The sequence below is a fragment of the Homo sapiens genome, chromosome 7, assembly GCF_000001405.40.
Source record: "Homo sapiens chromosome 7, GRCh38.p14 Primary Assembly".
Lineage (NCBI taxonomy): Eukaryota > Metazoa > Chordata > Mammalia > Primates > Hominidae > Homo > Homo sapiens.
The window spans coordinates 26799884-26814632 of NC_000007.14; the positions used below are offsets into that span (position 1 = coordinate 26799884).

The window sequence follows — 14749 nt, forward strand, 5'->3', positions numbered from 1 at the left end:
TGAGGCAGGTGGATCACGAGGTCAGGAGATAGAGACCATCCTGGCTAATACGGTGAAACCCTGTCTCTACTAAAAATACAAAAAAAAAAAATTAGCCATTTGTGGTGGGGGGTGTCTGTAGTCCCAGCTACTTAGGAGGCTGAGGCAGGAGAATGGCATGAACCCAGGAGGTGGAGCTTGCAGTGAGCCAAGATTGCGCCACTGCACTCCAGCCTGGGCGACAGAGCGAAACTCTGTCTCAAAAAAATAAATAAAATAAAATAAAAACTGAAAAACTACCAAGCATCTTCTCTGACCACAATGGAATAAAATTCAAAATTAATAACAAGAGGAATTTTGGAAACTACACAAATGCATGGAAATTAAACAGTATACTCTTGAATAACCAGCGGGTCGGTGAAGACATGAAGAAGGAAATTGAAAAATTTCTTCAAACAAATGATAATGAAAACAGAACACACCAAAACCTATGTGATACAGCAAAAGCAGTACTCAGAAGGACATTTATAGCTATAAGTGCCTATATTGAAAAAGAGGAAAATTTTCAATGCATCTTCAAGAACTTGAAAAGCAAGAGCAAACCAAACCCAAAATTAGTAGAAGAAAAAATAAATAAATAAAGACCAGAGCAGAAATAAATGAAATTGAAATTTTAAAAAAATACAAAAGATCAACCAAAAAGTTGGTTTTTTGAAATGTTAAACAAAATTGACAAACCTTTAGCCACACTAAGAAAAAGAGAAGATCCAAATAAATAAAATCAGAAATGAAAAGAGAGACATTACAAGTGATACTGCAGAAATTCAAAGGATTGTCAGTGTCTACACTATGAGCAAGTACATGCCAATAAATTGGAAAATCTGGAAGAAATGGACAAATTCCTAGATACATACAACTGACCAAGATGAACCAGGAAGAAATCCAAAACTGGAACAGACCAATAAGAAGCAACAAGATTGAAGCTGTAATAAAACATCTCCCAGTAAAGAAAAGCCCAGGACCTGATGGCTTCACTGCTGAATTCTACCAAACATTTAAAGAACTAACACCAATCCTAATCAAACTAGTCCAAAAAAATAGAGCAGAACAGAATACTTCCAAATTCATTCTACAAGGCCAGTATTACTGATACCAAAACGAGAAAAAGACGCATCCAAGAAAGAAAGAAAGAAAAAAAAATATAGGCCAATATATTTGATGAATAATTGATGCAAAAATCATCAACAAAATACAAGCAATCTGAATTCAACAATGCATTAGACAGATCATTCATCATGACCAAGTGGGATTTATCTCTGGGATGCAAGGATGGCTCAACATATACAAATCAATCAACATGATACATCATATCAATAGAATGAAGGATGAAAACCATATGATCATTTCAACTGATGCTGAAAAGGCATTTGATAAAATTCAACATCCCTTCATGACAAAAACGCTTTAAAAAACTGGGTATAGAAGGAACATATCTCAACATAATAAAAGCCATACATGACAAACCTACAGCTAGTATCATACTGAATGAGGAAAAACTGAAAGCCTTTCCTCTAAAATCTGGAACACGACAAAGATGCCCATTGTCACTGCTGTTATTCAACACAGTACTGGAAGTCCTAGCTAGAGCAATCAGACAACAGAAAGAAATAAAGGCATCCAAATTGGAAAGGAGGAAGTCAAACTATCCTTGTTTGCCAATAATATGATCTTATATTTGGAAAAACCTAAAGACTCCACAAAGAAACTACTAGAACTGAGAAACAAATTCAGTAAAGCTGCAGGATACAAAATCAACACACAAAAATCAGCAGTATTTCTATATGTCAACAGTGAACAATGTGAAAAAGAAATTTAAAAAGTAATCCCATTTACAATAGCCACACATAAAATTAAATACCTAGAAATTAACTTAAAGAGGTGAAAGATCTCTATAATGAAAACTATAAAATACTTATAAAGAAAATTGAAGATGACACCTAAAAATCAAAAAATATTTCATGTTCATGGGTTGGAAGAATCAATATTGTTACAATGTCCATATTACCCAAAGCAATCTACAGATTCAATGCAATCCCTATCAAAATACCAATGACATTCTTCCCCAAAACAGAAAAAAAAATCCTCAAATTTACATGGAACCACAAAAGACTCAGAACAGCCAATGTTACCCTAAGCAAAAAGAACAAAGCTGGAGGAATCGCATATCTAACTTCAAATCATACTACAGAGTTATAGTTATCAAAACAGCATGGTACTGGCACAAAAACAGACACATAGACCAATGGAACAGATTAAAGAACACAGAAGCAAATCCACACACTTAGAGTGAAATCATTTTTGACAAAGGTACTAAGAACATAGACTGGAGAAAAGACAGTTTTTTTTTTTTTTTGGTTTTTTTTTTTTTTGAGACGGAGTTTCACTCTTGCCCAGGCTGGAGTGTAATGGCATGATCTCAGCTCACTGCAACCTCCGCCTCCCGAGTTCAAGCGATTCTCCTGCCTCAGCCTCCCAAGTAGCTAGGGCTACAGACATGCACCACCATGCCTGGCTAATTTTATATTTTTAGTAGAGACAGGGTTTCTCCATGTTGGTCAGGCTGGTCTCGAGCTCCCGACCTCAGGTGATCTGCCCGCCTCAGCCTCCCAAAGTGTTGGGATTATAGGCATGAGCCACCACACCCAGCCAAGACAGTCTCTTTAATAAATGCTGCTTGGGGCTGGGTGCAGTAGCACACGCCTGTAATCCTGGCACTTTGGGAGGCAGAGGCAGGTGGATCACGAGGTCAAGAGATTGAGACCATCCTGGCCAACATGGTGAAACCCAGTCTCTACTAAAAATACAAAAATTAGCCAGACATGGTAGCACGTGCCTGTAGTCCCAGCTACTCGGGAGGGTGAGGCAGGAGAATCGCTTGAACCCAGAAGACAGAGGTTGCAGTGAGTCAAGATCGCACTCCAGCCTGGTGACAGAGCAAGACTCTGTCTCAATAAATAAATAAATAAATGCTGCTTGGAAAACTGGAAATCCATATGGGAAAGAATGAAACTAGACCCCTATCTCTCACCATATACAAAAATCAAATCAAAATGGATTAAAGACTTAAATCTAAAGCCTCAAACTATGAAACTACTACAAGAAAACATTGGAGAAAATTTCCAGGACATTAGTCTGGGTAAAGACTTCTTGAGCAAAACCCCGCAAGCACAGGCAACCAAAGCAAACATGGACAAATGGGATCACATCAAGTTAAAAAGCTTCTTCACAGCAAAGAATACAATCAACAAAATGAAGAGAGAACACACAGAATGGGAGAAAATATTTGCAAAATACCCCTCTGACAAGGGATTAGTAACCAGACTACATAAGGAGCTCAAACAAGTCTACAGGAAAAAAGCCTAACAATCCAATCAAAAAATAGGCAAAACCTTTGAACAGACATTTCTCAAAAGAAGACATGCAAATGGCAGACATATGACAAGGTGCTCAACATCACTGATCATCAGAGAAATGCAAATCAAAACTACAATGAGACATCATCTCACCCCAGTTAAAATGGCTTATATCCAAAAGACAGGCAATAGCAAATGCTGACGAGCATGTGAATGACAGACAGCCCTTGTATGCTATTGGTGGGAATGTAAATTAGTACAACTACCATGGAAAACAGTTTGGAGGTTCCTCAAAAAAACAAAAAATTGAGGTACCATAGGATCCAGCAATCCCACTGCTGGATATATGCCCAAAAGAAAGGAAATCAGTATACTGAAGAGATATCTGCACTCCTACGTTTGTTGCAGCATTATTTATGATAGCTAAGATTTCAAAGCAACTAAGTGTCCATAAACAGATGACTGGATAAAGAAAATGTGGTACATATACACAATGGAGTACTATTCAGCCATAAAAAAGAATGAGATCCAGTCATTTGCAACAACATGGATGGAACTGGAAATCATTATGTTAAGTGAAATAAGCCAGGCACTGAAAGACAAACACTGCATGTTCTCACTTACTTGTGGGATCTAAAAATCAAATCAACTGAACTCATAGACACGGAGTGTAGAGGATGGTTATCAGAGGCGAGGAAGAGTAGTGGAGGATTGGAGGGGGAGGTTAATGGGTATGAAAAAAATAGAAAGAATGAATAAGACCTACTATTGAATAGCACAATAGGGTGATTATAGTCAACAGTAACTTAATTGTATATTTTAAAATAACTTAAAGAATGTAATTGGATTATTTGGAACTCAAAGGATAAATGCTTGAGGGGATGGATGGCCCATGCTCCATGATGTGCCTATGTCACACTGCATGCCCGTATCAAAATGTCTTATGTACCCCATAAATGTATACATCTACTATATACCCACAAAATTTTTTAAAAAATAATTTTAAAAAAATTTTAAAAAGAAGTGTTGGACTAAATTTCCTCTGTTATCCTTTCTAACTCTATACTTCTACAATTTGTTTTAATCAATACCACAAATTATAAGCAAAGAAGAAATATTTATACCTTACATGATAATGTTTTAGAATCCTTAACACATAATGTTTAATAAAAAGAATGTGCCGGGCCGGGCCTGGTGGTTCAGGCCCGTAATCCCAGCACTTTGGGAGGCCAAGGCGGGCAGATCACAAGGTCAGGAGATTGAGACCATCCTGGCTAATGTGGTGAAACGCTGTCTCTATTAAAATTACAAAAATTAGCCAGGCATGGTGGCACGCACCTGTAGTCCCAGCTACTCAGGAGGCTGAGGCAGGAGAATCACTTGAACCCGGGAGGCGGAGGTTGCAGTGAGCCGAAATAGCACCACTGCACTCCAGCCTGGGTGACAGAGTGAGACCCCGTCTCAAAAAAAAAAAAAAAAAGTGCCAATTTTTAATGCAGGAATAAATAAAAAGGCAATTTATTAAAAATGCAAATAATGAATAAAATATTTTTTAAATTCACCATCAACTAGTAAAAAGAAAAGCCAGTTAACAGTGAAATACCATTATTGGGAAATCCTTAAAAGATTAACAGCCAATGTATAAAAAATGCTTACTATCATGGAAAGATGTTTCCTATAGTATGAAAAAATTAAAGTATAAAACACAGTATCCAGAATATGATGTCTAATATGCACAGAAAATGTCTCTAGACAGATAATATACTACAATTTTAACAGGGGTTAGTTTTGAAATCAGATTATAAAGCTGGGCATGGTGGTGAGCAATTATATTCCCACCTACTTTAGAGGCTGATGTGGGAGGTTCCCTTGAGCTTGAGACCAGCCTGGGCAACATAGTGACACCCTGTCTCTTTAAAATAAAAAATTTTTAATCAGATTATGAAACAATCAACAGACTATGATGTCATATATGTACAGAAAATGTCTCTAGACAGTTGTATACCATAATTTTTGTAGGAATTATTTCTGTTACCAGTGATTACTTTCTTCATTATTCTAATCAGGTATGCTGATTTTAAAATGAGTTCACAAATTCCTTAACACTCCTCCTTCGAAAGGCAGAGCCTAATCCCTTTCCCCTTGAATGGGGGTCAACTTCACCCATTTGATTCTAAAGGACAGAATGTGGCTAAAGTGATGCTATGTGACATCTGAGACTAGGTCATAAAAAAATATATAGCTTCTACTCGGCTCTTTCTTCGGGGGAAGCCAGCTACAAAGTCATGAGGGCACTCAAGTAGACAGTGGAAAAACTCATGTGAAAAGGGACCAAGGCCTCCTGACAACAGTCAGCACCAACTTGCAGCCATGTGAGTGAGCCTCCCTGAAAGTGGATTCAAACTTTCGGATCACTGCAGCCTCAGCTAAAATTCTGACTGCAATTTCATGAATAGTTCTAAGCCAGAGACTGCTAAGCCATTCCCCAATGCTTGACTCACAGAAATGTGAGAATAAAAGGTTTATTACTTAATAATAAATATATGTACACTTCATTTTATTGCATTTCACTTTATTGCACATTGCAGACATCGCACCTTCTACAAGTTGACGGTCTGTGGCAACTCTGTCGAGAAAGTCTATCGGCACCATTTTTCCAACAGCATGTGTTGGCTTTGTGTCTCTGTGTCACCTTTTGGTAATTTTCACATCTGAAACTTTTTCATTATTATTATATCTGTTACGGTGATCTATAGTTACCATTGTAATTGTTTTGGGAACCATGAGCCACACCCATATAGGATAGCATATTTCATTGATAAATATTGTGTATGTTTTGATTGTTCCACTGACTGACTCTTCCCCTTGTCTCTCTCCCTCTCCTTGGGCTTCCCTATTCCCTGAGACATAACAATATTGAAATTAGGCCAATTAATAACCCTACAATGACTTCTAAGTTTTCAAATAAAAGGAAGAATCACACACCTCTCACTTTAAATCAAAAGCTAGACTCACTTTTGTAATCCCAGCACTTTGGGAGGCCAAAGTGGGAGGATCACTTGAGCCCAGGAGTTTGAGACTAGCCTGGGCAATATAGTGAGACCTCATCTCAATCAATCAATAAATAAACAAATCAATATAAAAAATATAAATAAGCCAGGTATGGCGTTATATGCCTGTGGTCCCAGCTACTCAGGAAACAGGTAGGAGAAGCCCTTGAGCCTGGGAATTTGAGGCTGCAAAGCAAACAAACAAAGCTAGAAATGATTAAGCTTGGTAAGAAATTCATGTTGAAAGCCAAGACAGACTGAAAGCTGGCCTCTTGCACCAAACAGCCAAGTTGTGAATGCAAAGGTAAAGTCATTGAAGGTAAATACAAGTGCTGCTCTAGTGAATACACAAATGGTAAGAAAGCAAAAAAGCCTTTTTGCTGATATGAAGTGTCAGTGGTCTGGATAGAAGATTAAATCAGTTACAACACTCCCTTAAGGTGAAATCTAATGCAGCTCAAGGCCCTAACTCTGCTCAATTCTATGAAGACTGAGAGGTAAGGAAGCCACAGAAGAAAAGTTGAAATCTAGCAGAGGTTGGTTCATGAGGTTTAAGGAAAGAAGCCATCTTCATAACATAAAAGTGCAAGGAGTTTGGAAGAAGCTGATTCCAACTCTTATGGATGACTTAGAGGTTCAGGACTTCAGTGGAGAAAGTCGCTGCAGATATGATGGAAATAGCAAGAGAACTACAATTAGAAGTAGGCCCTGAAGACGTGACTGAATTGTTGAAATCTCATGATAAAACTTGAAGGGATGCAAAGTTGCTTCTTAGGATGAGCAAAAAAAGTGGTTTCTTGCGATGGAATCTACTACCAGTAAAGACACTGTGAACATTGATGAAATGACAATAATGGAAGGATCAGTATATTACATAAATTTAGGCGATACAGCAGTGGCAGGATTTGAGAGGATTGCCTCTGATATGGTTTGGCTCTGTGTCTCCACCCAAATCTCATCTCGAATTATAATCCTCACGTGTCCAGGGAAGGACCTGGTGGGAAGTGATTGGATCATCGGGGAAGTGGGGGTTCCCCATGTTGTTCTTGTGATAGTGAGTGAGTTCCCACAAGATCTGATAGTTTAAAAGTGTTTGGCAGTTCCCTCCTTGCTCTCTGTCTCTCCTTCCACCTTGTGAAGAAGCTGCTTGTGTCTCTTTAACTTTCTGCCATGATTTTAAGTTTCCTGAGGCGCCCCCAGCCATGTGGAAATGCAAGTCAATTAAACCTCCTTTATAAATTACCCTGTCTCAGGTAGTTCTTTATAGCAGTGTGAAAATGGACTAATACAGTCTCCAATTTTGAAAGGGAGTTCTACTTTGGGTAAAATGCTAGCAAATGTCATCACATGCCTCAGAGAAATCTTTCATGGAAGGAAGAGTCAATCAATGTGGCAAAACTCACTGTTATCTTACTTTTAAAAATTGCCACAGCCATCCCAAACCTTCAGCAACCACTGTCCTGATTAGTCAGCAGTGATCCACATTGACGCAAGACGCTCCACCAGCAAAAAGATTACAACTTGCTGAAGGGTAAGATGATTGTTAGCACTTTTTTTAGCAATAAAGTATTTTTAAATTAAGGTATGCACATTGTTTTTTAGACATAATACTAATTGCACACTTAATAGACTACAGTATAGTGTAAACATAACTTTTATGCATATAAATCAAAAAACTCATGAATTGCTTTATTGCAATATTCATTTTATTGCAGTGGTCTGAAACCAAACCCACAATATCTCTGAGGTATGGCTGTGATAATAAAATAATACACAGGTTTAGGGGTAATCTGCTATACAGCAATAAATAATTAATACATCTGTATAGGGCTGTGGTCAAAAGTGTAGGCTCTGCAGTATTCATAATAACCAAAAGATGGAAATAACCCAAATAAATGTCCATGAACAGATGAATGGATAAATTTTGGTATACATACATAATAGAATATTATTAGCTTTAAAAAAAGAATGAAATTCTGATACATGCTACAACATGATGACCCTTAAAGACATTATGCTAAGTAAAATAAGCCAGACACAAATGTACAAATACAGTATGACTTTACTCACATGAAGTACCTAGAACAGGCCAATTCAGAGACTAAAAATAGAATAGAGGTTGTGGGAGCAGAGGGTAGGGAGGTGGGTGAATGGGGAGTTACTGTTTAATGGATACAGAGTTTCCGTTTACAATGATGAAAACATTATGAAAACGGTGATTGGTGGTTACTCAACATTGTGAATATACTTAATGCCACTGAAATGTATACTTAAAAGTGGTTAAAATTGTAAATTTCATAATATGTGTCTTTTACCATAATAAAAAAAAAGGAAGGGACAAGCCTTGGAATAAGATGGCTTGGGTCTCAACCTTGGTTCCGATACTTACTAGGCATGTAACCTAGTCTCTCTATACCTTAATTTCTTCATGTACAAAATGGGTATAACAACAATGCCTACGGCAAAAATCAACTCAAAGTGAATTAAAGACTTAAGTGGAATACCTGAAACTAAAAATATTAGAAGAAAACAGAAGAGAAGCTCCATGATGTTGGTCTTGGCAAAGAATTTTTAGATATGACCCCCAAAGCACAGGTAACAAAAGCAAAAGTTGGTAAATGGGGTTACATCAAACTAAAAAGTTTCTGTACGGCAAAGGAAACAATCAACAGAGTGAAGAGACAGCCTATGGAATAGGAGAAAATATTTGCAAACCACACATCTGGTAAGGGGTTAAGATCCAAAATACATAAGGAACTCAACAGACTCAATAGTAGGAAAACAAAACTCAATAAAAAAGTGGTCTGGCCGGGCGCGGTGGCTCACGCCTGTAATCCCAGCACTTTGGGAGGCCAAGGTGGGCAGATCACCTGAGGTCAGGAGTTTGAGACCAGCCTGACCAATATGATGAAACCTCATCTCTACTAAACATACAAAAATTGGCCGGGTGTGGTGGCATGTGCCTGTAATCCCGCAACTTGGGAGGCTGAGAAAGGAGAATCATTTGAACCCGGGAGGCAGAGGTTGCAGTGAGCCAAGATCGCACCATTGCACTCCAGCCTGGGCAACAAGAGCAAAACTTCGTTTCACAAGAAAAAAAAAAAAAGTGGGCAAAGGACCTGAATAAACTTTTCTCAAAAGAAGACCTACAAATGTCCAACAGGTATACAAAAAAAATGTTCAATACCACTAGACATCAGGGAAATGCAAATTAAAACCACAATGAGATAACACCTCACACCTGTCAGAACAGCTATTATCAAAAAGACAAAAGATAACCAGTGTTTGTGAGGATGTGAAGAAATGGAAAGCCTTGTATACTGTTTGTGGGAATGTAAATTAGAACAACCATTATGGAAAACAGTATGGAGCTTCCCCCAAAAAATTAAAAATAGAGCTACCATATGATCCAGTAATCCCACTTCTGGGAATATATCCAAAAGATACAAAATCAGTATGTCAAGGGGATATCTGCACTCCCATCTTCACTGTAGCATTATTCACAATAGCCAAGATACGGAATCAGCCTAAGTGTCCATGAAGATGAATAGATGAAGAAAATGTAGTATATGTATAAAATGGAATACCATTTAGCCTTTCAAAAGAAGGAAATCTTGTCATTTGTGCCAATATGGATGAACCTGGAGGGCATTAAGTTAAGTAAAAAAGCCAGGCACAGTAAGACAAATGCTGCATGATCTTAATTTATATGTAGTGTTAAAAAGTTGGGCTGGGCACAGTGGTTCGCACCCGTAATCTCAGTGTTTTGGAAGGCTGAAGCAGGAGGATCACTTGAGGCCAGGAGTTCAAGACCAGACTAGCCAACCTGGCAAGTCTCCATCTCCACAAAAATAAAAAAATTAGCCAGTCATTGTGGTACACCCTTGTAGTCCTAACCACTCAGGAGGCTAAGGCATGAAGATGGCTTGAGGTTACAGTAAACTGAGATTGCACCACTGCACTCCAGCCTGGACCATGTCTCTAAAAGAAAAAAAAGGAAAGAAAAAGAAAGAAAAAAAAAGAAAACAAGAAAAACAAAAAAGTCAAACTCACAGAAACAGAGAGCAAAATGGTGGTTACCAGACACTGAGGAATAGGAGGAATGGGGAGATGCTAGTCCAAGGATACAAAATTTCAGTTAGATAGGAGGAGTAAGTTCAGAAATCTATTGTACATCACGGTGACTGCTTAACCTACTTATACTTGAAAATTGCTAACAGTGGATTTCAAAGGTTCTCACCACAAAAATATAAGTACATGAGGTAACACTTGAGCTAAATAACTTGATTTAGCCATTCTAAAATGTATACACATATCAAAACATCATGCTGTGTACCATATATATATATACATGTTTTTGTTTGTTTTTTTCTTTGAGACACAGTCTCACTCTGTCACCAGGCTGGAGTCCAGTGGTGCGATCTCAGCTCACTGCAACCTCCACTTCCCAGGTTCAAGCGATTCTCCTGCCTCAGCCTCCCGCGTAGCTGGGACTACAGGCACACGCCACCATGCCTGGCTAATTTTTGTATTTTTAGTAGAGACGGGGTTTCACCATGTTGCACAAGATGGTCTCGATCTCTTGACCTCATGATCCGCGCACCTCGGCCTCCCAAAGTGCTGGGAATACAGGCATGAGCCACCACCCCCAGCCCTATATATAATTTTAATTGTCAATTTAAAGTTTTTTAAATTAAAAAATAAAAATAAAATGAAGTCAAGTAGTTTGACCAGTCACAAAGCAAGTCTCAGAGCTTTCATCTCTTATTTGTTAGCATCCAAAGCTCATGTCCCTAAACACAACAAGCCTGAAGAGCAGGTATTCGTGTTCCACCAGAAAAAGATTGTAGGCTTTGGAGAAAAAAAAGACCTAAATTTCTACCTCAGCTCCACCATTATTTGCTGTGTAGCTTTGGGCAAATCACCTAATCTCTCTGGGCCATAGTTTCTTCAATAATAAAACAATAATTCATCATGCATGCCACTGAAAATTATTCTGATATATTTCTCTATTGATTTTACCTTAAAGGCTTCAGGAAGCCACTGGAGCACTGAAAATTTCTGTTGAACAAATTAAAAAATCCCATCCATATCCCCAAACCACACCATCTTTCTCTTTCCCTGTCCCTACACCCTCTTTACCTAGTAGAAAAGCACCAGAAACCTCTATTTGTCTCTGTTCCTCTTCTCTCTCAACAAATGGACCTATATGTAAAAACTTAAGTCCAAAAGAACACCATTTTGTACATTACTTTGTACTTTTTATATTTGCAATGGGAGATGGAGGGAAGAAACTAGTCAGTAATAAAACAGATCCCCCCTCCACCTGCAGGTGATAATTGTCATAAAGCCCCACTAAGAAAACTGTCTTTTGTTATGTATCCCAAAATAAGAAACTGTTAAGCTATTAAAAGAGAAGAAAAGGGCACTTAGTAGTAAATGCCATCTAATGATACAGACTAATAAATACAAGTAATTTTAATGTAGTAGATTAGAGTTTTAAAATGCCATTTTGCAACTATTTGCAAGAGAGTTTAGTAATTTAAAGAACATTTTCCTTATTACATCAAATTCCCATAATTTACCTTATAAGTAAAATGCTAGCAAAAGCTATAACCTTAATTTATATAACATTAAAGTCACATCCTAACTTTGGGAATTTATTTGCAGGCATGTTAATTTTTAAACAATTTAAAACCACTCTTAAAAGTATTTTCTATTTCCTCCTAGGGCCCTGATTTGTTTTTAAGGGAACTGTTTCAAAGATGTTAACCGAAATTGCAAAGGGACAGCTGCTTGATACAAAGGGGCATATTACTGCCTTGCAATATCAAATCACTCAACCTCACTTCTTTTCCCTCTTTTGGGCTCTAGGTTGCCACTAAAATGGCTATGTCTTAGTAAGTAAATAGAGTGATGGTCATATTATGCATACTGATATATCCTAAGGTCCTTTTACTGGGAAATGAGAGTATTTGCCCATATACACTTTATGTCTATGTTAATGTCTGCACTTGCTTTAACTTCCCTAAATCCCAAAACATGTTTCAAGATTTGTGAACTGGATAATTCACACCAGTGCACTTTTCTGTTGTTCATCTTAAATTACGGAAATTCTCATATCTGTTCTAAACCTTAGGAGACAAAAATACAAAAAAAAATCCCTTAAAAAAGCACCATATGTTCTAAACATAACTTCATAGAATATAAAAAAATCAACCAATGGCAATTAATCTTACAGATGCCATTTCATTTTACCATGAATTACGTCGACAAAATATGTTAAACAATGGGTTTAAATGATGTATATCAAAATGTATTGACTCAAATAGTTTCGCATTATTTCTTTAAGGTATAATAGGTATGTTAAAAAACTATTACCAAAAATAATGCAAGAATAAAATTATCATCTATGGTCGTATCACTTTTTATACCATCTTCCTTAAAATCTTGAGATTCAAGTCCTAACCATACAGTTTCAGTGAGAAAAGCCATAAAACCATGCTTTTTTAAAAAAGAAAAAAAAAAGCCTGTTTTTTTCCGGTCCTGGTTTCCCAGGATCATAAAACTCAAACTGTCCTCCCCAAATTTATCTTTTCTCACTTGTTTCTTAACTGTTGAGTTATAAATACCTCTGTCTTCTATTAAAGGTAAGTTCATTCCTGTGAGAACTATATTCCAAATTCTATACTCACGCTGTATTCAGAATTCAAAATTTGACTTCTAATCTTATATAAAAACTAGTTCTTAAATGTGACAAAGCTATATAGATGTTCTACTAACTTCAATTTTTTTAAAAATTATTAGTTAAATTTTCTCTAGCATTAATTCTAGTTGGAGACTGCAAACACCCAGAATATTGATATAGGTACATACACTGGAGTCAGAATTGATTTTCTATCATTGAACCTGCTAGGCACAAAAGTAACAGTATGCAATTGTATTCATGCTGTGCAAACCTCCTTGATAATATATTAAAAATCTAGCATATTGGGGTTTCCATACTGATTTACACTATACATACCTTTTGTCTATACTTTTTCAAAAAATGGCGTATGTAGCTGAAATTTTTTAAAGCCAACAACAACAAAAATGGTTATAAGCTTGCCTTGTATTAGAACTTCTTTTGTCTGTCAATCAACAATAAAGTATTATTCTACCACCACAAAAGGAAAACCTTTGGAGGCAGTAAAGGACTATGGGTTGTGCAAATGTGCAGTTGCTAAGAAGCAAATATGCCTCTCTTCTAATCAAATAGCCCAGCTCAGCAATGCCGCTGGCTTGGGGCAAAAAGCAAATTCCACCAGCCACAAACTTAGAAACAGTCTTGAATTATTTGTTGCTGACCGCTGGCTGAACCCTTCCTGATGAGCACCATCACCATTAGCCACTACTCAGTGTATTCCATCAACCAATGGCAATAGCAGCATGCTACAGCTCAGGCTACAAGAAATTGATCAAACAGGGTAATGAGACTATTTCTTCACAGAGGTTATTTTAAATGAATATAAATATTTTCTTTCTATGTAATTTGCCACAGAAAGGTCACTGAACTCTCTGTGATTCGAAAGAAAAATGTTCTACTGTCCCCTTTACATATTTGAGTTAAGATAAAGCCAACAAACAATTCAGGGCGTTTCTTGATATTAGGAGCAAATTCTCATGAGCTGGCATTTGAGACAACAGATTTAGCTGTGATATTTTAGCTTCATATGAAGCTACAGCTAAAAATTGATCAAACGATGCTACTCTATAAATATAAAACTAATCATGATTTACTAATTAAAAATATTTATAAGAGTACATTTTTGTTTAACAAAAGCACAATTAATCTCTAATGTAGGAAACTGTGAGAACATGAATCATATGTATGCCTTCTTAGCTCATTATTAAAATTTGATATAATTGTTGTAAATTATTTAGTGGAGAATTCATTTTCTATAGCCCACCTCCTCCTGCTAGACAGTAGAATAAAATGCATGTTAACTATTCCAGTTGGCACATGAATCATTTCACTGACATCTGATTTAGCTCCTCTTACAGAGAGATATTTACTGCTCCTCTTCTTTACATACTTTAAATGAAATCACATCACAACCAAATCACAGCAATTTAGCTGTATATTTTATCTAATATTCTGTAAAGTCCAGTTTGTAGTTAGCAGGCTTCTAATATGGTGGTATTAAAATAATCCCAGCGAAATCACTCTTTAGGAACTTCAAACACCCTTACACCAGCAAAAAAAAAAAAAAAAAAAGATTCAGTGTAAATATTTCCAACACATCAGTATCCTGCCATTATTATAAT

General features: G+C 37.0%; 1 protein-coding gene and 1 long non-coding RNA gene across 4 annotated transcripts in view; one reads left to right on the forward strand and one right to left on the reverse strand.

Annotated features, from left to right (window-relative positions):
- SKAP2 (src kinase associated phosphoprotein 2) overlaps positions 1-14749 on the reverse strand; it is a 209821-nt gene that overhangs the window by 145114 nt on the left and 49958 nt on the right. The gene's annotated exons all lie outside the window — the stretch shown is intronic.
- The window catches only part of LOC124901606 (uncharacterized), a 51980-nt gene continuing 42909 nt past the window's right edge, over positions 5679-14749 (forward strand). The window contains exon 1 of the long non-coding RNA XR_007060265.1: positions 5679-5764. This is a non-coding gene — a long non-coding RNA (uncharacterized LOC124901606). The remainder of the gene's footprint in view (positions 5765-14749) is intronic.